The 27702-nt window shown below is 45.1% G+C and overlaps 1 protein-coding gene across 2 annotated transcripts, besides 1 other annotated feature; it reads left to right on the plus strand.

Annotated features, from left to right (window-relative positions):
- On the plus strand, positions 97 to 26954 carry ACTG2 (actin gamma 2, smooth muscle). 2 transcript variants are annotated; one of them, NM_001615.4, is made up of 9 exons: positions 97 to 140; positions 8365 to 8526; positions 9449 to 9577; positions 15762 to 15872; positions 16144 to 16228; positions 20574 to 20735; positions 21769 to 21960; positions 23673 to 23854; positions 26521 to 26954. In NM_001615.4, the coding sequence occupies exons 2-9, from the start codon at positions 8401 to 8403 to the stop codon at positions 26662 to 26664; spliced, it is 1131 nt and encodes a 376-aa protein (NP_001606.1). In that variant the 5' UTR covers positions 97 to 140; positions 8365 to 8400; the 3' UTR covers positions 26665 to 26954. The 2 variants fall into 2 exon arrangements, with proteins under 2 accessions (NP_001606.1, NP_001186822.1); NM_001199893.2 differs by lacking the exon at positions 9449 to 9577.
- Positions 19495 to 19642: a silencer, noted in NCBI's record as "fragment chr2:74139533-74139680 (GRCh37/hg19 assembly coordinates)". NCBI's record gives its function as "represses an EF-1alpha promoter that drives an FKBP-Casp9 reporter gene in an ReSE screen in HepG2 liver carcinoma cells {active_cell/tissue: HepG2}" and the evidence as "EXISTENCE:reporter gene assay evidence [ECO:0000049][PMID:32094911]".

Consider the following 27702-nt stretch of genomic DNA (forward strand, 5'->3'; position numbering starts at 1 on the left):
ATTGCTAACACACCGTCAGCTGGCCTTTTTAGGGACTTTGTTTAAAGAAGATCCGCCTCTGGGGTTTTATATTGCTCTGGTATTCATGCCAAAGACACACCAGCCCTCAGTCACTGGGAGAAGAACCTCTCATACCCTCGGTAAGTACTGTACGGCTTTTGCCACCTCTTCCTTTCCGGGGCTGCCTGGCCTCCTGGGTGCGGGAGGTGCCTCCAGATTGGCCTGGCTTCTGTGACGCTGGCCCAGATCACACACCAGAGCCCTTGGTGGGCAGCGGCACCTGCAAGCATACTGCAGCCTGCTGAGAAAAGGCGTATCTGGCCATGGGACATCCTGGGGCAGGGGCAGCTTGGAACCGTGCTCCCTGCCTCAGAATGGGGACTGGCGGGATATAATGCCTGCAGTCTCTACTAGCCCTGCTCCCCAGGGCCAGTGCAGATCCACACCCTGATGTCCTTTGTCTTGGGTTAGAATGTCTGGGAGGCTGTTTTAGGGGATCATATACTTTGCAGAAAAGCAGCTTTTCAGAATACTTGAGTCAAAGCCAACAGTGGTCCTGGTGTCTGTGAGCTGTTTAGTCCATGAAATGTCTGTGCTGGGAATGGGAGGGTATTTTCTTCAGGTCCCCTGTGGGTCTCTCTGTCCTCTGATCTGTGCTTGGCTGAGGAGAATGGAGGGTTTCTGCAGTCCTTGAAGGCTCTAGGATCATTGGGGGATGGAGAAAATTCCACTTGCCCTGTGGCATCGTGAGGTTTCAGGGTAGAAGGAACTTGGGACCCATCTAGTTCATTCTCCTCTGATGAGGACATTGAGGCCTAGAGACGTACAGCCACTCATCCAAAAGACTCACACCCAACTGTGACCCATTTGCAGATGTCATTACTCCCCCCAACCCACCCAACACACACACAACACATGCACAAAGAATTAAGAGGAAGATGAGATGAAGGGGCCACTTCTATGTTTGGCATCAGAATTCACTAGCATCTCTTCACAGGTGAGGCAGGCTGGGTGTGGCAGTGCAGGCCTTGAAGGCAGACTGTCAGGCTAACCAAGTTACTGAGCGACCTCAGCTTCCTCACCTGTAAAATGGGGGCAAGAATAATAATATCTACTTGGCGATGGTGTGAGGATTAAACGAGAGAATGCGTATATACAGCACTCAGCTCAAGGCTGTCAGGGCCCGGCCCTGAGTTCTCAAACTTTAAGAATCACCTGGAGTGCTTGTTAAAACACAGATTGCCCCATGCCCCACCCCAGATTCTGATTCCAGTAGGCCGAGATATGGCCTGATACTTGGAATTCCTAACAAGCTCCCAGGCGACACTGAAGCTGCTGGTCTGGGACCACACTTTGTACAGGGAGGCTCTAAGTGCTCACTTTGATTACTTGAATGTGGGTTTGGACTCTGATACTAACCCTTGGGCTGAAAAGAGGAAGAGCTTCCTGTGACAGAGAGGGATGGGTGCTGGAGAAACTGCAATGAACAGTAAGATCCTACATGCCAGGCCTGAGAAAAGGGGATGGGCCGTGTGACATCATGACCTTGGGGCGAGATATCTTTCCTCTTTCCCCTTGTTCATTCTGCCAACATTTATTGAGCACTTATTATGGGCCAGGCACTGTCTCTGCTCCTTAGGGACAGTGGAGAGGCTTCTGCAGTTACTGGAAGAGACAGATAAACAGATGAGAACCATGGAGCAAATAAGTACACGAAAGGGGTAAAGGCCAGGAGGAGCCCATCACTCAACCCAGGAGTTATCAGGGAAGACTTCCTGGAGGAAGAGGTGCCTGAGCTTGGTCCTGAAGTAAGGACCAAGCTTGGTCCTTCCTGGTAAAGAGGAAGCATGGTCTTTGGGACTCAAGTGGCTCAATTCCACTGAATTTAGATAGCAAGGCAGGAATCAGGTAAAACTAAATTCAGAGGGGTCCGCAGGGCTGGATTACAAGGGCTTTAGACTCTAAAGGATCAGGCTATGGGGAGCCATGGAAGGGTTTTAATCTGGAGGGTATCTGTTGAAGGGGCTGCTTTGGCAGCTGTGAGGAGAGTGGACTGGAACAGGGCAAGAGCGCTACTGCAGCATGCGGTGGTCCTGAGCTGGTGGCATGGGTGCCGTGCAGGTAGAAGTAAGAAGGGCTGGTGATAGGTTGGGAGGGAAGAGGGCGGCACCAGGGCATTGGGCATGGGCTCAGGGTGGGTGGTGTGAGTCTGTGAGGGCAGCTCCGGGCAGAGGCTGCTGATGAGGAGAGCAGTCCTGGAGGTGTGGAGTTGGGGTGCCAGGGGGGTTTTGGTGGGGGAGATGCACGGCAGGCTCTGCAGGCCTAGAGCTCAAGAGAGGGGTCTGGACAGGAGCAGAGCCAGGGGAGTGAATGGAAGTCCGGGTAAGAGCCAGAAGATAAGGCACCCACGACAGATTGTGGAGGATCCAAAATATTACTCAGCAGAGTTGTTTTTAATTGAACTCATGTATATATAGAACCTAGTGAAGATATCCTGAAGTTAATTAGAGGTGCTGTTAGAATTTTCCATCGTGGCAGTGTTTTTCATAGACAATTTCTCTCTGCCAGGGTTTCTGATGGTTTGTATATACGTGTAGGCAAATAATAAAAGGCAGAGACGCAGCTGCTTACATGTCACTTGAAGCTCTCACCCAAAAACCTGTCGCCAACTATTGTTTGAAATCTCATCATCGCAGAGGCCCTCCGTTTAGGCCTAACACTTTCTGTCAAAATGAAAATGTCTTTGAGAACTGACATAAATTCAACTTTCAATAGTCATTGATGTGTGAAATGGATCATTCAATTCCTTTCAATATGACAGGCTTCATCCTGGGAGCAAGTTTTGATGGAGAAGAGTAAGAGAGATTAATAAGAATCATTATTCTTTACAGCCCTTGACGACAGGGATTGACGAAGCCCGGATAGTAAATATTTTAGGCTTTCGGAGCCTGAAGTTCTCTGTCACAAGTACTCAATTCTACCATTGTAACAAAAGCAGCCATAGATAATATGTAAGTGAATGGATGTGGCTGTGTTTCAGTAAGACTTTATTAGACTCTGAGATTTGAATGTCATATAATTTCCATGGGTCATGAAATATTTTTCTTCTTTTGCTTTTTTCTCAACCGTTTGAAAATGTAGGGCCGGGTGCAGTGCTTGCACCTGTAATCCCAACACTTTGGGATGCCAAGGCAGTAGGACAACTGGAGGCCAGGAGTTTGAGACCAGCCTGGGCAACATAGCAAGACCCTGTTTCAACAAAAAAAATTTTTTTTTGAAATTAGCAGAATGTAGTGGCCATGCCAGCCACATGCCTGCCATCCCAGCTCCTAGGATGAGGAGAAAGGATCCTTGAGCTCAGGAGTTCAAGCCTGCAGTGAGCTTGATGGTGCCACTGGACTCAATGCCTAGGTGACAGAGTGAGGCCCAGTATCTCAAAAAAAAAAAAAAAAAAGAAAAACCATTCTGAGATATAGGCCATACAGAAACAGGCCGGAATTTGCCTTACCCTGATTTACAATGTCTACGGCACCTTCATTTCCGTTCTGTCATCTTGTGAGATAGATACTATCATTTCCATGTTCTAGCGGAGGAAACTAAGGCCCAGGGAAGGAAGGGACTGGGCTGTGGGAAAGGGGAACCAGGAGGGAGAAGAGGGTAAAGGAAGGAGGAGCAGTGGGAGGATTTCTAGAGCCAAACTTGTCTCCTTTGAGGTGCTGGGGAGGGTGGATTTTAACAGCTCTGCCCTCACATTGGGTTTGAGGTGGCCAGGGAGACGGGTGAGTGAGCAAATGACTTGCATTCATTATGTCTTTGGTTTCTGGCCACCTTTGGGGCTAGGGGAATAAAAGCTTCATTCCTGAGTCAGTGAGAGCTTCAATGAAGCCCAGATGTCATTCGTGCTGAAAGAACCAGAACAACTCTCTGCTCCCTGCCAAGCATGAAGCGGTTGTGACCCCAGGAAACCACAGTGACTTTGACTCTGGTTCAGCTGACATGCTCGAGTCTAGCCACAAATTACCAGAAAGCAGCTGAGGAAAGTTTAGAATTTCTCCTGGCAGAGATGGTCCACGAGTCTGGCTCCAGGGTGAACCCCTTCTTCCCAGAGCAGCACGGGGCCCTTTGGAGGCTCGACTCCGCCAGCCCTCCCACTGCCTTCCCCCTGCCTTCCCCACCCTCACTTCGGTTGAGTTTTGCCTTCAAAATAGCAGACTCCAAGCCACCTGAAGGGCTGCAGAACAGCGTTGTTGACAGCTTCAAGTCGCCTTGTGGCTTCTCTGAGCTGCTGCTGTGCTTTGGAAACAAAATTCCAGGCTCTCCCTCTTTCTGTGTGTGGGAAACACCGGAGAGAGTTTGGGGAGGGAGACAAAAGGGCCCATTGAAAACCCAGACAGGCTTGAACTGTAAGTCACACCGGAGAGAGGGTTGCTGAGGGGACCCTAGAGGGAGGCAGTCCCGGAGCACAGCTTTGCTTCTTTGGCTACTTCCTTGCTTTGGAGGTTGCTTTCTTCTCAAGGTGGACCACCTGCTAGAACAGGGCAGCACTGCTGTTCACTGGCCAGCTTGGAGAGAAGACTGCCCATGTGATTCTAAGTCAGGCCCTTGTGACTGAACCACCATGAGGCTGGACTGTGGGGACTCGGGTATCCCAGAGGCAGAGCACACCAGGTCTGGGAGGGGGGCCACTCAGACGGCAACATTGTCATTCAATATCTATTGAACACCTACTGTCTTAATCCATGTTTGTTGCTACCACAGAATATGTGAGACTGGGTTATTTATAAACAATGGAAATGTATTTCTCAAAGTTCTGGAGGCTGGGACATCCAAGATCAAGGCACCAGCAGATTCAGTGTCTGTCTGGTGAGAGCCCAGAGTCTGCTTCCAAGGTGGCACCTTGTTGCTGCACCGTTACATGGCAGAAGAGCAAGAGAGAGTGAGAAGGGACCAAATTCGCCCTTTTATAAAAAAACCCATTCTTGAGAAGGACATTAGTCCATTCAAGAGGGCAGAACCCTGCTGTTAAAATTGGTAACTAAATTTCAACATGAGTTTTGAGGGGGACAAACATTCAAACCATAGCACCGCCTGTGTGTTAAACACCCACTTAGGTGCTGGGGCTGTAAAAAGTAAATCTAGGCGTGGCCCTGGCACAGGAGGGACTCCATTTCATAGAGAGAAAAGAACACAGACCCTTTTGTTTTAGGGTGCTTGCTGCCAACCGCTCTGGAGAGACAGGCTGAAGCAAAAACACCAAACATGGAGAAGTTATGACAGTTCCCCAAAGTAGTGACGAAGGCACATCTCAGGCTTGGGAAGTGTCCTCGGTGGGTGCCAGGCCTGCCTTTCCCAGCCTCTTCTCGGTGAAGAGATCTCTGGCTAAGTTCTTTACCTTCTCTGAGATTTGGAACATACTGCTGTTTCACCTACCAAAGCAACTTGCACCTTTTCTATTGTATTAAATATTTCAGTTTCTCCATTGTATGGAGGCTTCCAGCAATTAGTTTACAAGCCAACTTATTTACTATTCAGTAACTTTTTTTGATATTGAGATTGTTCCTAATTTTGATCATTTTAAACAAAGGTGTGAAAACAGGCCAAATCTTTTCATTCACTCATGACCATTTCACAAAGATAGATTCGTAGAATAAGTATTTTCAAATTCCCTTTCAGAAAAGTAGTACAATTTAACACTCACAAGCAGTGAATGTGAAGCCAATTCTCCATACCTTTGCCAGCAAGGGTGGCCCCAAGAACCACACACAGTACCCCAGCTAAAGGCAAAGGTAGCTTTTATCCTGGCCATAGCACACTGCTGATGGTCAACAAGACACCAAGTCCTGCTCACAGATGCTAAACAGAGCTTTCTTTTTTCTTTTCTTTTTTTTTTCTTTTTTTTTTTTTTTTTTGAGATGGAGTCTTGCTCTGTTGCCCAGGCTGGAGTGCAGTGGCTCGATCTTGGCTCACTGCAAGCTCCGCCTCCCGGGTTCACGCCATTCTCCTGCCTCAGCCTCCCGAGTAGCTGGGACTACAGGCGCCCGCCACCATGCCTGGGTAATTTTCTTTTTTTTTGTATTTTTAGTAGAGACGGGGTTTCACCATGTTAGCCAGGATGGTCTTGATCTCCTGACGTCGTGATCCGCCCACCTTGGCCTCCCAAAGTGCTGGGATTACAGGCGTGAGCCACCGCGCCCGGCCACAAGAACTTTCACAGTTTGGTGATTGAAACCCACATATAGGAATTCATATTCATTTCATTAAATTTAACCTTGGCTGTGTGTGGTGGGTCACTTGTAATCTCAGCACTTTGGGAGGCTGAGGCAGGAGAATCACTTGAACCCAGGAGTTCAGACCAGCCTGGGCAACAGAGGGAGACTCTGTTTCTACAGAAAAAAATTTTTATATCAGCCAGCCATAGGGCATGCCTGTGATCCCAGCTACTTGGGATGCTGAGGTGGGAGGATCGCTTGGGCCTGGGAGGTCGAGTCTGCAGTGAACTGTGTTCTTGCCACTGTACTGCAGCTTGGGTGACAGAGCAAGACCCCATCTCAAAAAATATATATATATATATCTTCTGATTCAGCTCATTTTCTGTGCCTTTTGAGATCTTCTTGGACTTTTATTCTTTCACCCAGTGTATTTAATATTACTCTCTCCCAGCTGTTTTATCTGAAAACTTTATCAACCTGTGCTTTATATTTTCATTCAATTCATTTATAAAAATGTCACATGAGAAAGGGTCAAGAGTAGAGCCCTGGGACATATTGCTGCCTCCTCATTGACATTGACTGAGGCAGCCGCAAATATACCAAATTGTATTATTGCTTAGTACATGGCTTTATCAAGAGGGATATCCTATTCTGGACCTTGTGGGCTGGTTTAGAGAGTGAGGACTCATCTCTGGGGCTATGGGAGACATAAGGATCAGCAGAGACAGAGGCAAAGCTGGATTTAAGAAGTCACAGCAGGCCTCTCCCCTAGTATGAGCCTTGCTTTGAACATATCTGGGAAGGGCTTCCTTTTAGTCTTGAAAATGTTTACAAGCCTCTGCTCAGCATCTACCTAGCCTTCAGACCTCGCGTTCTCAGGCCTGTGGTGCTGTCTCCTCTCTGCTTCAGTATGGTCTTCTCTGTCCAGCTTCTGCATGAGGCCATCTGGGGCCAAGGGTCACAGGTTTTAGAAGTTCCCCTCTCCCCGCTCCATGCCATAGGCACCTGCAATCGCACATCCTGGATAAAACTTCAGCCGGCCTTCTCTTTATGTGCCTGGCGCCTCTCTTTTCTCTGGGTTTTTGGAAGTCTGCCTGCCCAGCCCCTCAGCTGGGGCCTTCCCCACTTCTGCCCCGCCCCACTGGGTCCTCCCAGGGTAGGAGGCAATCTCTGACTGTCTTCCGAGGCTCTGTTGCTTCTCCTTCATCACCAAATGCCAGGAATTTGTCAGATGCTGTTTGTAACTCAAAAGAAAGAAAGAAAAAGAAAAAGATACAGGAAGGAAGGAAGGCAGAAAAAGAGAAAGAAAGAATGCGTGCAGCAGATGTTGGGAAAGTTAATTTCTTCATTATTTTGCATCCATCCCAGTTCGGATCTCAGCATGGGGTAGGGAATCCTCTGTTGTCCCCATCTGTCGAGGCAACAGTGAGTCCCATCATGGAGTCCCTTCTTTTCCTCTCTCCTCCCAGAGTGCCCCTTCCTCATCAAGGTGCTTCTACCCTTAGGAGTGTACATTTCACCTATAACCACTGCCTATTTTTTCCTAGTGATATGTTATGCTATTGATTTTTAATTATATAAACTATATGCAAATGCAGCCTCCTTGTAAAAAAATTAAAATATTATAGATATAACCCAGCACTTCTTCTCCCAGTTCCTTTCCACACTCCCAGAGGTAATCATGATAATCAGTTTGCTAGGTGTCCTTCCAGAACTTTTAGCTTCTTTCTTTGGCTTGTATATGGCCACCTTCTCACTGCATCCTCCCGTGGCCTACCCTCTGCATGCATCTGGATCCTAATTCCCTCTTCTTATAAAGACACCCATTGTACTGGAGTAGTCATACTGGATGACAGCCATATTGCATTAATCTCATTTTAACTTAATTACCTCTTTAAAGACCCTATCTCCAAATACAGTCACCTTCTGTGTACTGGGGGTTAGGACTTCAACATGAATTTTTGGGGGGACACAATTCACATTTCAGGGCAGAGGGAGGAGGCTCAACTGCCAGTGAGTGGGAGGCCAAGCCCATGCCTGTCCCTCCTGGAAGTGTGCCCTGATTGCAGGTAGGGTCAGGCCCCAAAGCCAAGAAACTGTCTCCAAACTGATTTGACAAGTGGCTGACTAGTTCTCTTCTCCCGCAAATCCCAAGGTGCTCCAGTCCCCAGCTCACTCAGCCACACACACCATGTGTGAAGAGGAGACCACCGCGCTCGTGTGTGACAATGGCTCTGGCCTGTGCAAGGCAGGCTTCGCAGGAGATGATGCCCCCCGGGCTGTCTTCCCCTCCATTGTGGGCCGCCCTCGCCACCAGGTGCGTGCTCATCTGGATACCACCAGGCTTTGAGCCACTAGGAGTAAGCGCTGCACTGTGGAGACCCTGCTGAGCTGGGGGTTAGGGGAAGGAAATGTGTGTGTGTGTGTGTGTGTGTGTGTGTGTGTGTGTGTGTGTGTGTGTCTGTGCGTGTGTGTGTGTGTGTGTCTGTGCATGCACATGCGTGTGTGCACGCCAGGTGTAGGGAGTTCTTTTCTGATTAACTGATAGAGCAGGACCCTTTAAATAGAAATATCCAGGGCCAAAACCAACATACATCAGGCACACAATGACACTACTATGTCTGGCTTACATTTGGGGGGTTGCCAGGTTTGGAAAAGTTAATTTATATGGGATTGAACAAGCCTCTTGCCTTTAAGAAATTTACACTTTGTGAAGAAATACACATAACTAACCAGAGATCATGGGCTGTAATAGAGGTAAAATATTTCACAGGAAGGGAAAAGTATCACAGAAAAAGTAATATCTGAGAATAAGAAGGATTTCAGCAGGTGGAGAGAATAGCAAAGATTTGGAGATCTAAGCAGGCACAGGGGACTTGAGGAGGATGCATACAAGTCGTGTGTGTGTGTGTGTGTGTGTCTGTGTGTGTGTGTGTGTGTGTCTGTGTGTAGTAGGATGAGGGGAAGAAGTGTATGGGAGGGGCTTGTTTTATCTCAGAAAACATCGTTGTCTGAAGAGAAAGAAGAAAGGCCACCACACAAGAAATCCTCCACCTTCTCTTCCTGACACCTTCATACTCACTGGCATCTGCTCCATCCTGTCTCCTGCTATCCTGTTTCTGGGGGAAGAAAGGCTGTTTTTCCCATCCTTATCCTTCTTCAGAGACCTTCCAGTGCCTGAATCCCTCTGTGTGGAGCCCTCAGCCATTCATTTCTCTTTTCTTCTTTTTGCATTGCAGGGTGTGATGGTGGGAATGGGCCAGAAAGACAGCTATGTGGGGGATGAGGCTCAGAGCAAGCGAGGGATCCTAACTCTCAAATACCCCATTGAACACGGCATCATCACCAACTGGGATGACATGGAGAAGGTATCTGTAGACTTCCCCTTAATGAGCCTGCTTTAATGATCACCCATCATCATGACCCTCGTATTCATAGGCCACTGTGCTCTGTCAACTCTCCCTCTAAAATGCTTCTCACTTCTGTCTTTCCTTTCTTTTCAGCCCCACGACCATTTCTCCAACCTAGGCTGCCAACATCTCTCCCTGGACTATTGCAATGGCTTCCTGGCTGATTTCTTGGTCTCTTGCCCTCATTCACCGAATTAATTCTCTACACTGCTGCAAAACTGATCTTTCTAAACACAGGTCAGCTCATGTCACTCACCTCCTCAGAAATCTTCAGTAGCTCTTCATTAACCAACAGGGGGTTCCTAACTCCCCGTCTTGGCATTGGAGGACCTTTCCCTGCCTGATCCCCGCGATCATCTTTTCCTGCAATATTTACTCAGGCCAGTGCTCACCCCTTCTTTAAAATGCTGGTGCTGGCTCAAGAGAGGCAAACAGCCATCTCTCTCATTCTTATCTTCCCTGTCAAGACTTCACATAGGTGGACTGATGCTAGACTATGATGATGAGTCTCCAGTGAAAGTTTCTAAGTAGAACTCTCTCAGGGTTTCTAGAAGCATTTTTGTTTAAGAAAATATTGTGGGGGGAGCGGGATTTTTAAATGGTGGAGCTCATGGTAAACAAAATTATGTGTGCAAAATGTTAATAGAGCCTTTCTAATATTCTTGTGATTAACTCTGGTGACAGTTGGCTGAGTGTTCTTGTTTCTGCAACGCCTGTCTTTGGAAATGTGATAGGGGGCTTATTGAGCAGACTGCAACTGGAAATGAGGAATGTTGACTTGAAGTCTGTAATTCACTTATACTTTTCTCTAAATCCTAGACTGAGTCACTCAATGTGAGATAAGTACTGCACATAAAATGCAATGGATTTCACGTTATACAGTGGAGTGGGTAAGAGCACAGACATTAGAGGCAATGGCAGGAAATCCAGGTGCAAATCCCACCCTATAAGTCTTAGTTTTCCCATTTGTAAAGTGAAGATAAAAAACACTTTGTGCATTAGGTTGCTTTGAAGATTGAATTAGCTAAATGCTTAGTATAATCCCAAGGCATGGAACATACTTATGTGCTCAATAAGTGACACATATGATTCATATATATGTAACAGTATCTAATTTAAAAACATAATAGGCCGGGCGTGGTGGCTTATGCCTGTAATCCCAGCACTTTGGGAGACCGAGGCGGGTGGATCACAAAATCAGGAGCTTGAGACCAACCTGGCCAACATGATGAAACCCCGTCTCTACTAAAAATACAAAAATTAGCTGGACATGGTGGCGGGTGCCTGTAATCCCAGCTACTCGGGAGGCTGCGGCAGGAGAATCGCTTGAACCCGGGAGGCAGAGGTTGCAGTGAGCCGAGATTGTGCCACTGCACTCCACTGTGGGTGACAGAGTGAGACTCCGTCTCAAAAAAAAAAAAAAAAAAAACAAAAAAAAAACCACATAATAGAGGCCAGTGGCTCATGCCTGTAATCCCAACACTTTGGGAAGCCAAGGCAGGAGGATAGCTTGAGGCCAGCCTGGGCAACATGGTGATACCCTATCTCTATGAAATAAAAATGTAAAAATTCACTGGGCATGGTAACACATGACTGCGGTCTCAGCTATTCAGGAGGCTGAGGCATGAGAATCACTTGAGCCCAGGTGGTGGAGGCTGCAGTGAGCTGTGTTCACGCCACTGCACTCCAGCCTGGGTGATAGAGTGAGACCATGTCTCAAAAAAAAAAAAAAAAAAAAAAAAGAAAGGAAGGAAGGAAGAAAACATAATAGACAAATAATAGACAAACTATTTTATTCACAGTAGTGACAACATGTGAACTCTTTAAAGAAACCCTTAAAAATAAATTATGTGCCTTAAGGCCGGGCACAGTGGCTCATACCTGTAATCCCAGCACTTTGGGAGGCTGAGGCAGGTGGATCACTTGAGTCCAGCCTGGCCAACCAACATGGTGAAATCCTGTCTCTACTAAACAATAATTAGCTGGATGTGGTGGTTAGCACCTGTCGTCCCAGCTACTCCAGAGGCTGAGGCAGGAGAATCACTTAAACTTGGGAGGTGGAGGTTTCAGTGAGCCAAGATCGCATCACTGCACTCCAGCCTGGGCAACAGAGTGAGACCCTATATATATTTTTTTTTAAAAATGTATATATGTATAAATATAAAATCATTTCATTATATAATCATTTCATTATATATCTATAAATCATTGTGTGTGTGTGTGTGTGTGTGTGTGTGTGTGTGTGTGTATATATATATATATATATATATATATATATATATATAATCTTGTGTGCCTTAAAAGAAAAACCAAATTGGGTAAAAGTGTCAAATGTCCTCAAATTAATTTATAGGCTCATTGCATTCCAATAAAAATTATGTGACATAATTCTAAAGTATGTTTGCAGAAATAAATAAGCAACAATTATGAGAACAAAATGAATTTTTTTAATTATGAAGGAAGACATAATGTAATAAAATACAATATAAATTATAAAGTTAAAACAATTTGATACCAGCAAAAAGGTAAAGAGGAAATATATAATAAATGAAACTTCCAGCATCAGAAAGGAGGAAAGGACTAGTCAATAAATTATTTCTGGGACAACTGATTAGTTATTTTTGGAGCTAGAGAATCTTGGTTTATAGCCCTAAGCTCATACCATTTCACCAAACACATGTCAATTAAATATAAAAGTTAAATGTAAACATTTAAATTACCAAAAATATAATACAGTTAATGTGAGCATTTAATCAAATTTCTGGTAAGAGTGGTCATAGAGAAAAAGAATGACAAATTTGACTTCTTAAAAAATCGTAACTTTTAATATCTCAAAAATAACCAAATTTAAAAGCCAAATAACAAATTGCAAAACAAAAGGGCAATGAGGGATTAATATGAACAGTTAATGCAAATTGACAATTAAAAATATGAAGTGTCCCCCAGACAAATAAAAAACAGTTAATTAGCTGAACAGAAATTATGAAAAGTTGCAAATGTGAAAAAATTTAAACTCATTTGAAACAAAAAAATTGAAGTAAAATAACTAGGTATGATTTTTACCTATCAAATTATTTCATATTTTAAGAGTGAGAGCACTGAATTCAGTTAAGAATGGGGTAAAACAGCCACTTTTTTATTCTGAAGTAAAGATTGGTTTAGCCTATTTGTTAATAACAGAAATCAGAAAGTCTTCCAATTGCTATGTTCTTTAGCCCAGTCATTCCACTTTTAGAATCTTCTTCTTTGGAAAACATCCTGAATACAAAAAATAAATTGCAATATGCACAAAGATAACTATCATAGGATTATTTATAACCAAAAATCAAAGACACCATGAATAGTAATGTGATTAAATATATGATAGTATATGATAAAATGTTATATAAGCATTTTCAAAAGTTTAAGTTTATCAAAAATAAATATTTATTATGAAAAGTAAAATAATTTGTTATAAAAACAAATTTGAACATAGTATAATAATATAATAAATAAAAGAATATGAAATAAATAATGATAGTAATAAATTTAAAAATACATAAAGACAAAGGTTAGGAAAAAGAAAAAAGCCAAAATGTTAACTGTTTGTTGTTAGGTGATGGACATAGGGGAGATTTTTATTCCATTAAAAAAAATTTTGGCCGGGCGCGGTGGCTCACGCCTGTAATCCCAGCACTTTGGGAGGCGGAGGCGGGTGGATCACGAGGTCAGGAGATTGAGACCATCCTGGCTAACACGGTGAAACCACATCTCTACTAAAAATACAAAAAATTAGCCAGGTGTGGTGGTGGGCACCCGTAGTCCCAGCTACTCGGGAGGCTGACGCAGGAGAATGCCGTGAACCCGGGAGGCGGAGCTTGCAGTGAGCCGAGATGGCGCCACTGTACTCCAGCCTGGGCGACAGAGCAAGACTCCATCTCAAAATAAAAAATAAAAAATAAATAAATAAATAAATACATAAAAATTTTGAGCTAGGATCTTCCTCTGTCGCCCAGGCCGGAGTGCAGTGGTGCAGTCATAACTCACTGTGGTCTTGGCCTCCTGGGCTCAAGGAATCCTCTTGCCTCTGTCTCCGGTGTAGCTGGGAACAGAGGTGCACACCACATCCAGTTGATTTTTTAATTTTTTGTAGAGACAGGGTCTCACTTTGTTACCCAGGCTGGTCTCCAACCCCTGGGCTCAAGCAATCTGCCTGTCTCAGCTCCCCAAAGTGCTGGGATTACAGGCATAAGTCACCACACTCGACCTTAAAAATATTTTTCTAACTTTAAAAATTATCAACATCTTTAACTTTTAAGGTATAAAAACTCCAAAAAAGAAACCAAAATCAAGTGCAGATGCTTGAGCCCAACACCCAAGGATTCTGGTTCAGTGGGTCAGATGATCCCAGGTGACTCTGAGACAGGGCCTTGAGGAAGCACATTTTAAGTAGCATGGGGTCCCCTCCTTAAGACCAGTTGCTGTCCTTCAGGCTCCTGTGCAATGCTCACAGTCCAGGGCCTCTGCCTGTGCCATTCCCTCTGCCTCGGATGCCTTTTGCAGCAGCCTCTGGAGACCTTCTTTTGCCCTCAAGGCCCATTTAAATCCCTCAGATAATGAATTACTCCTACCTCTTCTTTCACTTAAAATGTGGCTTGTGTTTTTCTTTTTGTTTGTTTTGGTCTTTTTTAAACGTCTCTCTCCCCTCTGGACTTTGCAACTGAGAATAGGGTGCCATGTCTGATTCATATCTGCCCTCATCACACTTACCACCGTCTTAGCACAAACCTGGCGGTCCATAAATACATGGGTCCAATGGCATCAAATGACCCTGTGCCTCACCTCTGAGGAAACCAAAGCCCCATGTCCCTGCTACACTTTGCCCAATCCCTCTGAAAGACTCCTTTTTGGTCGTACTTGATCACTGAAGAAGGAACTGGACACAGGAAGAAATTAACTTCCTCTAAAACAGTGGTTCTTTTTTATTTTTGAGACAGGGTTTTGCTCTGTTGCCCAGGCTGGAGTGCAGTGCCATGATCACAGCTCACTGCAGCCTTGACCTCCTGGGCTCAAGCGATCCTCCTGCCCCAGCCTCCTGAGTAGCTGAGATTACAGGCAGGCGCTACCATGCCTGGCTAATTTTTTATCTTTTTGTAGAGACAGGCCCACAGTGTGTTGCCCAGGCTAAGCGGTGGTTCTTAACCAGGATGATTTTGCTTCCCAAAGGACATTTGGCAATGTCTGCAGACATTTTTTATTGTCACAACTGGAAAACTGCTGCTAGCATCCAGTGGGTGGAGACCAGGGATACTGGTCGGCCCTCCACAACAAAGAATTATCCAACCTAAAATGTCATAGAGCTGCGATTGAGAAACCCTGCTTTAAAGCACCAGCCTGGCCAATAATAGCCAGTGAAAATTGAGCCCAAGTGCCTCTGTCAGATTCTCAGCAGGAGATAGTGTACACTCAGCTGCGGTTTTGAAATTGTTTGACAGTGTATACTCAGCTGGGGTTTTACAACTGGTTAAATGAATGTCCTACAGAAATGTGCATAGGGTTAAGGCAACTACAAAGGGATGTCGAGGCACCCAAGAGCCAGCAACAGAGGGAGCTCTCACACCCCTAAACATGAAGGGGTCAGGTGACGAGGGCAGTGTCATTGGAGCTTAGTGAGAGCTTGAGCTCTGAAAGAGGGGCTGCCCAACAGGAACTGTGCTCATGGAGGGCCACGCCATTGTCAGGAGATAGACCCTGACTTCTTTTGCCCTCCTACTTTCCAGCCTCTTGCAGGAATCTTCTATCAGCCAAATATAGCCAGAAGCCAGAAAGCAATGAACACTTGAGTGATACAATGTGCCTTGCATCACTCAGTGCACAAAGGCAGGGGAGAGACTGTAGGAGAGTGAAGAGGAGGGAAGGTCAAATGGAAATAATGAACACATAGAAAATACTGGTTCCAGGTCTGAGTCCTACCTGGGGCCCTGTTGAGAAGGAGTATACCCTTTAAATGTCAATCAGAAATTTCCAGGGCTGACCATTCTCCTCTCCAGATCCATCCCATCCTGTGTAACATGGTGCCACACTCTCCCAGCATGGGAATGTCAATGAGAATTTTCCAGCCATTGGGAGTCTGCCAGGCTCATATGGCTTTTGTCTCCACTAGATCTGGCACCACTCCTTCTACAATGAGCTGCGTGTAGCACCTGAAGAGCACCCCACCCTGCTCACAGAGGCTCCCCTAAATCCCAAGGCCAACAGGGAAAAGATGACCCAGGTAAGAAGCCAGGAAGACTTGAACACTGGCATAAGAATGCAACATGGATGCTTGGCCAGATACTTTCTCCCCTTCAAACATCAGTGCAACAGAACTCTCTGAGGACCTGCTATGTCTGTGGTCCATGCCAGGCCCTGGGGGAGTGGGTGTGGAATAATGAACTATCAAACTGGCATAGTTCCTGCCCTTAATGAGATTACAAACCATTCTACAGGCCAAGAAGTGCTGTGATTTTTGCCAAATAATCTTTTATTCTTCATTGTCCTTTAAGATCATGTTTGAAACCTTCAATGTCCCTGCCATGTACGTCGCCATTCAAGCTGTGCTCTCCCTCTATGCCTCTGGCCGCACGACAGGTGAGTAATCCTGTAATCCATTCCTTTTCTGACTTCAGGGGAGGTAGGGAAAAGCTGGGGTCTGGCAGAGGCTCCTGCTCAGAAGAATCAAATGGACAGCTGAAGTCCAGGCAAAATCTTTCTTAGGGATAATAGGTGAGAATGCCCATGTGGAATGCCAGATGTGAGCCTAGCTGGTATAGTTGGAAAAAACATCCAGCAAGAACTGTTTCCCTCACAGTAATAATTCCAGGAGCTTCTACACATACACACATTCCAACAATACTGGAATGTTTCTGCTTCATGAAGCAGAAAGAGTAGAACCTGTGGTGGTGGAAATGTAAGTGCAGTTACACATTGCTTAATGACAGGGATACGTTCCGAGAAATGTGTGTCATTAGGTGACTTTGTCACTGTGGGAACATCAGAGAGTGTACTTGCACAAACCTAGACGCTGTAGCCTACTACATGCCCCGGCTGTATGGCGTGGCCTATTGCTTCCAGGCTACAGACAGTATAGCATTTAACTATAATTAATACTGTAGGGAACTGTAACAGAATGGTTAGGTATTTGTATAGCTAAACATATTGAAACATAGAAAAGTTACAGTGAAAATATAATATCAAAGATAAAAAATGGTACACCTGTGTAGGGCACTTACATGAATGGAGCTTGCAAGACTAGAAGTTGCTCTGGGTGGGTTAGTGAGTGAGTAGTGAGAAAATGTGAAGACCTAAAATGTTACTGTGTACTACTGTAGACTATAAACACTGTACACATCGGCTGTACTACATTTATAAAAATATTATTCTTGGCCAGGCACAGTGGCTCACACCTGAAATCCCAGCACTTTGTGAGGCTGAGGTGGGCGGATCACCTGAGGTCAGGAGTTCCAGACCAGCCTGGCCAACACGGTGAAACCCCGTCTCTACTAAAAATACAAAAATTAGTTGGACGTGGTGTCAGGCACCTGTAATCCCAGCTACTTGGGAGGCTGAGGCAGAAGAGTCACTTGAACCTGGGAGGCAGAGGTTGCAGTGAGCCAAGATCACGCCACTGCCCTCCAGCCTGTGTGACAGAGCGAGACTCCGTCTCAAAAAATATGTATATATATATATTATTCTTTCTTCAATAATAAATTAACCTTAGCTTACTGTAATGTTTTTTACCTTATAAACTTTTTAATTTTTAAAGCCATTTTTACTTTTTTTGTAGTGACAGTAATAGAAAAACATCTTTTTTCGACTTTTTTTTTTTTTTTTTTTTGAGACGGAGCCTTGCTCTGTCACCAGGCTGGAGTGCAGTAGCGTGATCTCGGCTCATTGCAACCTCTGTCTCCCACGTTCAAACGATTCTCCTGCCTCAGCCTCCCATGACTTTTTTTTTTTTTTTTTTTTGAGATGAAGTCTCACTCTGTCACCCAGGCTGGAGTGCAGTAGTGCGATCTCAGCTCACTGCAACCTCCGCCTCCTAGGTTCAAGTGATTCTCATGCCTCAAACTCCCAAGTAGCTGGGACTACAGGAGCGTGCCACCATGCCTGGCTTATTTTTGTCTTTATTTAGTAGAGAAAAAAAAGGAGTACACCCTTTAAATGTCGATCAGAAATTTCCAGGGCTGACCATTCTCCTCTCCAGATCCATCTCATGTTGGCCAGGCTGGTCTCGAACTCCTGATCTCAAGTGATCTGCCCACCTCAGCCTCCCAAAGTACTGGGATTACAGGTGTGATCATCACCCCCAGCCAAAAATAGTTTCATTTATATCCTTTATTCTACAAGCTTTTTTCTATTAAATTTATTTTATTTTATTTTTTACTTTTAGAGCTTTTTTGATAAAAACTAAAATATACACATTAGCCTCGGCCTACACAGGTTCAGGATCATCAATACCACTGTATTTCATCTCCACATCTTGGCCCACTGGAAGGTCTTCAGGGTTAATAACATGCATGGAGCTGTCATCTCCTATGATAACAATACCTCCTTCTGGAATATCTCCGGAAGGACCTGCCTAAGGCTGTTTTACAGTCAACTTTTTATTTAATAAGTAGAAGGAGTACACTTTAAAATAATGATTAAAAACATAGTATAAGAGCTGGGTGCAGTGGCTTATGCCTGTAATCCCAGCACTTTGGGAGGCCGAGGTGGGTGGATCTCTTTGAGCTCAGGAGTTCAAGACCAGCCTGGGCAACATGGCTACAACCTATCTCTACAAAAAATACAAAAAGTTAGCCGGGCATTGGTAGCTCACGCCTGTAGTCCCAGCTACTCGGTAGGCTGAAGCTGGAGAATTGCTGGAGCCCAGGAGGCAGAGGCTGCAGTGAGCTGAGATCTCACCACTGCACTCCAGCCTGGGTGACACTCAAAAAAAAAATAAAAAAATAAAAGACAGTATAAGAAATACATAAGCCAGTACTAGTACCATAGTTGTTTATTATCATTTTCAAGTATGTTGTACATAATGTATGTGCTGTACTTTTATACAGCTGGCAGCACAGTAGGTTTGTTTACACCAGCATCACCACAAACACGTGAATAAAGCGTTGCCCTATGACGTGATGTCAGCTATGATGTCACTAGGCAATAAGAATTTTTCAGCTTCCTTATAATATTATGGCACCACCATTGTGTATGTGGTCCGAAGTTGACCAAAATGTCATTATGTGGACATGACTATATGTGGCCTTGGTATAGAAGTGTGCTCAGCGTAACAGAGGAAATCTCAAAATAAAATGGTCTTTAATAGGAACTTGACAGCTTCCATAAACATTTGTTTAAACGTTCATTAATCATTTATTCACTGATTTATCCATTCATTCATCCATCATATATTTTCCATTACTCCCTACAATGTGCCAAACATGGTACCAGGCCATGGGCACACACTGACAAATAAGACAGACTTTGTCATTATGGAGCTAACAGTTTAGTGGGAGATAGACAAAAGTAAAAGATAATTTCACTGCATGTGATAAGGACAATGATGGAGAAATGCATGGCATATACAGTGTCGTATCCTGTGCTTTGCACTTTGGTTTTTGTTTTTGTTTTCATTTTGAGATGCAGTTTCGCTCTGTTGCCAAGACTGGAATGCAATGATGTGATCTCAGCACACCACAACCTCCACCTCCCGGGTTCAAGCGATTCTCCTGCCTCAGTCTCCCGAATAGCTGGAATTACATGCACCTGCCTCTGCACCCGGCTAATTTTTGTATTTTTAGTAGCAATGGGGTTTCACCATGTTGGCCAGCTGGTCTTGAACTCCTGACCTCAAGTGATCTGCCCCCCTTGGCCTCCCAAAGTGCTGGCATTACAGGCATGAGCCACCGCGCCCAACCTTGCACTTCGTTGCAAACATCATGTTTAATAGCCACGTGGTAGTCGTTGTATGATGGTTTCATTATGTATTTATTTTACCATTTCTCTATTGCTGGAGCTTTAGGTTGCCTCTCATTTTTATTATACAATATGCCATGATTCAGGTCCTTACACAAGAGTAAGTTGCTGCTTTCTGGACATTTATTTTGCATCTGGCCCTTACTGAACCATCTAACTAGGTCTAATGGTTTCTTAATTGATTCTGTTGGGTCTTCTGTATAAAACCACATTATCTGCAAATAATGACAATTTTGGTAGTCACACCTCCTATTTCTATTTTCTGTTTCACTGCAATTGGCTAGAACATCCTGGACAATATTAAAAAATGGTGGTGATATTGTAATGTTTTCTCATCCGTTATGATGTGGCTGTTAGATTAAGAAATATGAGGCTGGACGCAGTGGCACATGCCTGTAATCCCAGCACTTTGGGAGGCCGAGGCAGGTGAATTGCCTGAGGTCAGGAGTTCAAGACCAGCCTGGCCAACATAGTGAAACCCCACATCTACTAAAAATACAAAAAATTAGCCGGGCGTGGTGGCAGGCACCTGTAATCCCAGCTACTCAGGAGGCTGAGGCAGGAGAATCACTTGAACGTAGGAGACAGAGGTTTCAGTGAGCCGAGATCATGCCATTGCACTCCAGCCTGGGCAACAAGAGCAAAACTCTGTCTCCAAAAAAAAAAAAAAAAGAATATGCAATGTAGACTTAATGCAAATTGACAAGTATGCATTACCAGTAATGTGTTTCAAGGAATACAAAAAAAGGACACATTTTACTTGCCCTCCAGAGGCCTACAGTCTCACTGGGGGGAAAAAAGTGACATACATAAAAAATAAAAAATATGATTGATGATTCTTGTGATGGGTGAATATTCTTAACTGGTAAAGGAAAATATGGTAGTCAGAGCTCATTGGTAACAGTCCTAGAAAGAGACTGATGAAAGGCAAGAATGAGAATTTTATAAGCCTGATCCTCTCTGTCCACAGGCATCGTCCTGGATTCAGGTGATGGCGTCACCCACAATGTCCCCATCTATGAAGGCTATGCCCTGCCCCATGCCATCATGCGCCTGGACTTGGCTGGCCGTGACCTCACGGACTACCTCATGAAGATCCTCACAGAGAGAGGCTATTCCTTTGTGACCACAGGTATCCAGCCCCTTTTCTGATTCTGACTGGAGCTCAGAACCAATCTGGTTTAGGACAAGAAGTTCTCAGGACCAATGAGAATTCTGTGACTCTGTGTCTTTAAACTCTCCTGAGATAGACTGAGAGGCCTTAAGCTGGGGCTAGGCCTCTGGATAAGACCAGATAGTCATGGAAGCAGTCCCTCCTTCCCCAGAGACCAGCTGCCTCTGTCCACGTCCACACCAGGACTAGGGCTAGTTTCCACAGGCTGAATGGTAGTGAAGATCTGCTGATGCATTTCATTACCTAGGGGCACCTTTGGTTTGAGGACAAATTGAATAAGTGAGGCCCGAATTTCTAAGGGGAAGGTGTCATGTGGCCCACCTGGGCAATCGGCATTTTTTAGGTGGGAGCCTCTCTAGGTTCTGTAAGATCAAACATCTGAGTCTAGACCAGAAATATGTCCTGCAAAGCCCCCAGGAAGGCCTAAGGCTTTGTCAGAAATCTCATGCAAAGTCCTGCATGGGAATCAAGACTTGAGACTCCCTCTTTAGAAAGAGGAGTGGAAGAATTAAGATTGAATGGAGTGACGCTTGACCCTCTTCGCGGCAAGTCTATCATCATCCTATGACTGAACCTAAAGTAGACGTGAGGCCAGGCGTGGTGGCTCACGCCTGTAATCCCAGTACTTTGGGAGGCCAAGCAGGCAGATCACTTGAGGTCAGGAGTTCTAGACCAGCCTGGCCAACATGGTGAAATCCTGTCTCTACTGAAAACACAAAAATTAGCCGAGCTTAGTGGCGCACGCCTGTAATTCCAGCTACTTGGGAGGCTGAGGCAGGAGAATTGCTTGAACTCAGGAGGTAGAGGTTGCAGTGAGCCAAGATAGCACCACTGCACTTCAGTCTGGGTGACAGAGTGAGACTCTGTCTCAAAAAAAAAAAAAAAAAAAGAATAAAGTAGATGTGAGAAGGAGGTTTTCATGGAGATCAAAATGGGACAACCAAACTATCAGAGCTCAGTATTCACCTTCTGTCATTTCTGCTCCTTCCAGCTGAGAGAGAAATTGTGCGAGACATCAAGGAGAAGCTGTGCTATGTGGCCCTGGATTTTGAGAATGAGATGGCCACAGCAGCTTCCTCTTCCTCCCTGGAGAAGAGCTATGAGCTGCCAGATGGGCAGGTTATCACCATTGGCAATGAGCGCTTCCGCTGCCCTGAGACCCTCTTCCAGCCTTCCTTTATTGGTGAGGTGCTGCCCACAGTCCCTGCCAATCTCAGGAGGGGAGGGTGGAGGAGTGGGTGAGGTATGGAGAGAGAAACACCAGGAGTCATGGCCACTTTGTTAATTACATACACGTACCTCACATTTTCCTAGGAAGGGCCAAAAATGTATTTTAAAAAAAATTAGGGAAAAATCTCATTTTAAATAAAAGGGAAAGGAAATCAAGATACAGGAAAAGCAGAACAGGAAATATAACATGAAACTTAAGAATGAGGTTAAAACACAGAAAGTTTGTAGGCAGCAATGTAGCAAGGTCAGGTTGTAGTTTAGCAAGATTCTTCTATCTACAGTGTGGAATCATATTGCATGGATAAAAGACCGGAGGCTTGGCCAGGCGCGGTGGCTCACGCCTGTAATCCCAGCACTTTGGGAGGCTGAGGCAGGCAGATCACTTGAGCCTGTGAGTTTGAGACCAGACTGGGCAACATAGCGAAACCCCATCTCTATGAAAAATACAAAATTTAGCAGGGCATGGTGGTGCATGCCCATGGTCCCAGATACTCAGGAGGCTGAGGTGGGAGAATCGCTTGAGCCGCAGAGATCAAGGCTGCAGTGAGCCGTGATTGTGTCACTGCACTCCAGCCTGGGCAACAGGGTGAGATTCTGTCTCAAAAAAAAAAAAAAAAAAGAGTAGAGGTAAGTAGACCAGGCAGATGGCAAGAGCCAGTTTGGCGTGCAGGACCTTTTGCTCTAGAAGACTGTGATGCCAGGCTACAGTAGCTGGATGTCAACCTGCAGGCAATGGGTGACTGTCAGATGACATGACGAGTATATCCATACAATGGAATCTTATTTGGCAATAAAAGGGAATGAAGTATTGATCCATGCTGTGACCTTGAAAACATTATACTAAGTGAAAGGAGCCACACACAGAAGACCATATGGTGTATGATTCCATTGACAAGAAACATCCAGAATAGGCAAACCTCTAAAGACAGAAAGTGGATTCACTGTTACCTAGGGCTGGGGCAGGGATGGAGGGGAAAATGGGGAGTGACCGCTATTAGGTATGGGGGTCTCTTTTGAAGGTATTTAAAATGTTCTAAAATTAGATTTTGGTGATGTTTGCTTCTGTGGATATACTGAAAATGACTGAATTATATCTCAAAAAGTTATGAAAAAAGAAAGATGATATAACAAAAGTGTTCCTTTAGAAATATGCTTCAGGCAACAGTATAAAAGATCAGGCCGGGTGTAATACCTCGCGCCTGTAATCCCAGCACTTTGGGAGGCCGAGATGAGTGGATCACAAGGTCAGGAGATGGAGACCATCCTGGTCAACATGGTGAAACCCCATCTCTACTAAAAATACAAAATTTAGCTGGGCGTGGTGGCATGTGCTTGTAATCCCAGCTACTCGGGAGGCTGAGACATGAGAATCACTTGAACCAGGGATCAGAGGTTGCAGTGAGCTGAGATCGCGCCACTGCACTCCAGCCTGGTGACAGAGCAGACTCCATCTCAGAAAAAAAAAAAAAAAAGATCAATCAGAACTGGGGACAATAAAGGAAAGGCCATGACAAGGAAGGGGGTATGATCTTATAATCCTTCTGGGAGATATTAAGGTTCTGAACTAGGGTAGTTGCAACAATCGAAGAAGGGTCATTTGAGGAGCTGGAGGTGTGCATATTTAGGAAGTGATGCCTGTTGACCAGACACTGTGATCTCCACTAGGCATGGAGTCCGCTGGAATTCATGAGACAACCTACAATTCCATCATGAAGTGTGACATTGACATCCGTAAGGACTTATATGCCAACAATGTCCTCTCTGGGGGCACCACCATGTACCCTGGCATTGCTGACAGGATGCAGAAGGAGATCACAGCCCTGGCCCCCAGCACCATGAAGATCAAGGTGGGTCTTGCCTCAGTTGTCTCCATCCTGTTCTTTGTATAAAGTCTTGCCTACCTGGGAGTTCCTCGGAGGCAGACTGCCAGACCTGATAACTTGCTGGTCTCCTGGGTTCAATATCATCCTGGACTGGAGCCAATTTTATCCTACGGAATTATGTTCCTTGGGCATTGATGGGCTGAAGACCCACTTAGCATGGATCTCAAACATAATCCCAGGAATGTCACATGAGAAGAGGCTGAAAGAATTTGGGATGATGAGAATATTATCCAGGTGTAATGGCTCATACCTGTAATCCCAGCATTTTGGAAAGCCAAGGTGGGAGGATCACTTGAGCCCAGGAGTTGAAGGCCACAATGAGCTCTAACTGTGCCACTGCACTCCAGCCTGTCTCTAAATATAAATTCAGATAGATCCTGTCTCTAAAAATAAATAAATAAATAAATAGAATATTGAGAGGGTTAAGAAGGAAATCAGGAGATGGGAAATAGAAGGAAAGAAAAGAAGGAGGTCACACTATGGTATCTTTAAACTTTATTGCTCCGAAGGAGGGTAAAAGTTCCAAAGAGTGGATGTTTGGTCATAGGGCCAGCTCTGCTTCAAACTCAACAGGGACATTCCTTGATTCCTGAACATCTCTGATCTACTGTCCCATCTTGGCCATGCCCTTCCCCATACTGCCTCCCAACAGGGCCTCTCGCCTCCTGGGCATCTGCAGGATGGGAGCTTCTCTTCTGCCTCTGGTCTCCAAGCAGTCACACAGACATTTTTAGCTCCTTCTAGGAACTTTGCTGCTAACAGCTTTAGAGAAAGAGTTGGGAATAGAAATATCACATTGGTTGAAAGTTACAAAGTCTCACAATAAAGCTGGTCTCTGGGGAGTAGGCCTGATGTAAGGAAATGTGTTCTCAGTCAATATTCTAAGAACCTTCATGAAGGAAGGCTGCCCCGGGCCTTCCCCCTGCCTAACAGATGGTGTTCATCACAGAGAAATGGAGCAAACCAGCAGGAAACTGGTGAGAACCTGTGGGCTCTTCTCACCCAGAGCCACAGGAATGGTGCATTACTGAGGCCTGTCCTGTGGAGAGCTGTGCCAGGCCTGGGGCAGGGGCTTTTTACCAGGACTGTGTGTCAGTATACCACGCCTAGCCTCACTCCCAGATTCTGGTCCAACAAGTCTGAATTGCTCCCCCATCACCTACACTGATAAACAACCACCAGTGATCTGATGCATTTCCCAATTCATGAGCCACAGCTCTGACTTAAACAGTACGTGCCAGCCTTCATGGAGTTTAGGATCTAATTAGTAAACATTATCAATACCAGGACAATCTAAATAAAAGCGGAAGGGAAAGGACACTCTAAGCAGAGGAAATAGAAGGAGCAAATGTGTCCAGGCAGGTGTGTGCTTATATGAGCACCTATCCAAATTGGACAGCAGGATTTGTTATAGGGGAACTGGGGGAGATGAGGCAAGTCTCAAGGACACAGAAGAACAGATTTGGGGTGGGGGTAGGGCTTATATTTAGGACCACCAACCTAAGAGAAGCCAGAGTTTTCTCATGAGAAGTGTCCAACAATAAAATTTGTTACCTTGCTAGTGGCTGTGCATTCCCAGTCCTTGAAATAATCTGTTCAAGGAGCATTTGTGTGACTTTTGTCTGCCTGGATAATAAAATAACTTCTAAAGATCCTTCTTATTCTACAATTCCATGATCTCTGTGATTTAGGGAATATGTAAAGAGATTCTACGGCAACAAAAAAAATCAATTTATTATCTGGTTTGCTCTAGCACTGAATTCTTAGACCCTTCCAAAACTGGAAAACTAGTTGAAGAATCATAGTCCTTCTGGATCCCCTTTGAAGTAGAGTTCAAAGTTGTTTGACCTGACAATCAATTTCTAAAAGCTAAGCCCAGGATTCCTAGTGGAAAGCATGAACAATGTAGATATAAATTTGAGGACTTCTGAGATATAATTGGCTGATGACAGATAGCTCAAAACAGGGTTTGGGTAGACTGGTTTATACTCAGGCATGGAGGAAGCCCAGCCCAACCTGCCCATGCTTCCAAACTCCAGGCAAGAACAGAACAAGGTTCCCCTTATAGATATTTGTATTGGTCAGCTATTGCCAAGTAACAAACAACCGTGGAATCTCAGGGGCACCTAACAATGAGCATTTATTACTCGTGCATCTGCGCATCACCTGGAAGTTAGCTGATCAAGGTCAGGCTTGGCTAAGTAAGTGGCTCTGAATTAACTGCAGGTCCAGCCAGCTCAGGTCAAGTCCATATTTCTCATTAATGGGCCCAGGCTGAAGGGCTAGCTGCTTCCCAGGGGCAGCTCTTCTCATGCACATGGCAGAGCAAGAGAACATGCCCAAGTACACAAGCATATTTCAAGCCCCTGTTTGTGTTATGTCTGCTAATATCCCATTGGTCAAAGCAAACACAATGCCCAGCCTTACAGGGAGCAGTGCACTCTTCCCATGGAAGGAATAAGGGAAGAGGGGGGAAGTGAAGGTTTTGAGCAATAATCTAATCTATCACAATGTTTCTCCTGTTCTTTTCTGACCATGGGGCTCCCCTTTTCTGGGATAAGTAGATTTTTGGACCACCTTGCTTATTCCCTTGGGGACTGATCATGATTCACCACATTTGTTCTTTGCAGATTATTGCTCCCCCAGAGCGGAAGTACTCAGTCTGGATCGGGGGCTCTATCCTGGCCTCTCTCTCCACCTTCCAGCAGATGTGGATCAGCAAGCCTGAGTATGATGAGGCAGGGCCCTCCATTGTCCACAGGAAGTGCTTCTAAAGTCAGAACAGGTTCTCCAAGGATCCCCTCGAGACTACTCTGTTACCAGTCATGAAACATTAAAACCTACAAGCCTTACTTCTCTGTGTGGGGCTCTTTTTTCCTGGGCTATGTCTCATACACAGTGCTAAGGACTTTTCACACATTACTTTTAATCCATGCAATAGTGCTGTAAGGTAGGTGCTATCATTATACCCATATTACAGATGAGGAAATTGAGGCTCAGAGAAGTCAAGGACTTGCGAAGATCACACAGATTCCAGATTAAAATTCAAGTATCTGACTGCAAAGCTAGTGCTCCTTCTACTGTGTCATCTTGTTTTCTTTTCCTTGAATATAAGTAAGAATGAGGCTAGATGACTCTTGGGATGGGGGTAGAAACACAGACTTTCAGTGATGTAAGTCCTTGTGCTCTAGGGCAGTTCACTAGGGAATATGAACGCAGTCGTGACATAGGCTTATGGGATGTGACATGAAGAGTTCACATACAATGTTACTGTCACTCACGTGAAGGAGGGTCACCGTGGGCTTAAGATCTCTATGATCTCTATGAGGTTGTCATTGAGGATTAGGCTGTATTTTTTTTTGTTTTTTTTTTGAGACAGAGTCTCACTCTTGCCCAGGTTGTGGTGCAGTGGTACGATCTTGGCTCACTGCAACCTCTGCCTCCTGGGTTCAAGTGATTCTCCTGCCTCAGCCTCCTGAGTAGCTGGGATTACAGGCATGCGCCACCACGCCTGGCTAATTTTTGTATTTTTAGTAGAGATGGGGTTTCACCATGTTGGCCAGTCTGGTCTTGAACTCCTGACCTCAGGTGATCTGCCCACCTTGGCCTCCCAAAGTGCTGGGATTACAAGTGTGAGCCACCGCGCCTGGCCAGGTTGTATTTTGCCCCAAAATTAATTAAGAAAGGAGTAGCATCGTTAGGAAGGACATTTTCTCTCCCTCCCTCTCCTGTTCCTCCTCCTCCTCCTCCTCCTCCTCCTCCTCCTCCCCTCTTTATCAATTTCCTCCCTACCCACTAGGTTAATTTTGTTT

This window comes from Homo sapiens, chromosome 2 (genome assembly GCF_000001405.40).
Source record: "Homo sapiens chromosome 2, GRCh38.p14 Primary Assembly".
Classification (NCBI taxonomy): Eukaryota; Metazoa; Chordata; class Mammalia; order Primates; family Hominidae; genus Homo; species Homo sapiens.

Coding starts and splice junctions, on each gene's coding strand:
- ACTG2 (NM_001615.4), top strand. CDS start 8,401: ATGTGTGAAGAGGAGACCACCGCGCTCGTGTGTGACAATGGCTCTGGC. Junction 16,229..20,573: donor TGCCTCTGGCCGCACGACAG/GTGAGTAATCCT, acceptor CTCTGTCCACAG/GCATCGTCCTGGATTCAGGT. Junction 23,855..26,520: donor CCAGCACCATGAAGATCAAG/GTGGGTCTTGCC, acceptor TGTTCTTTGCAG/ATTATTGCTCCCCCAGAGCG.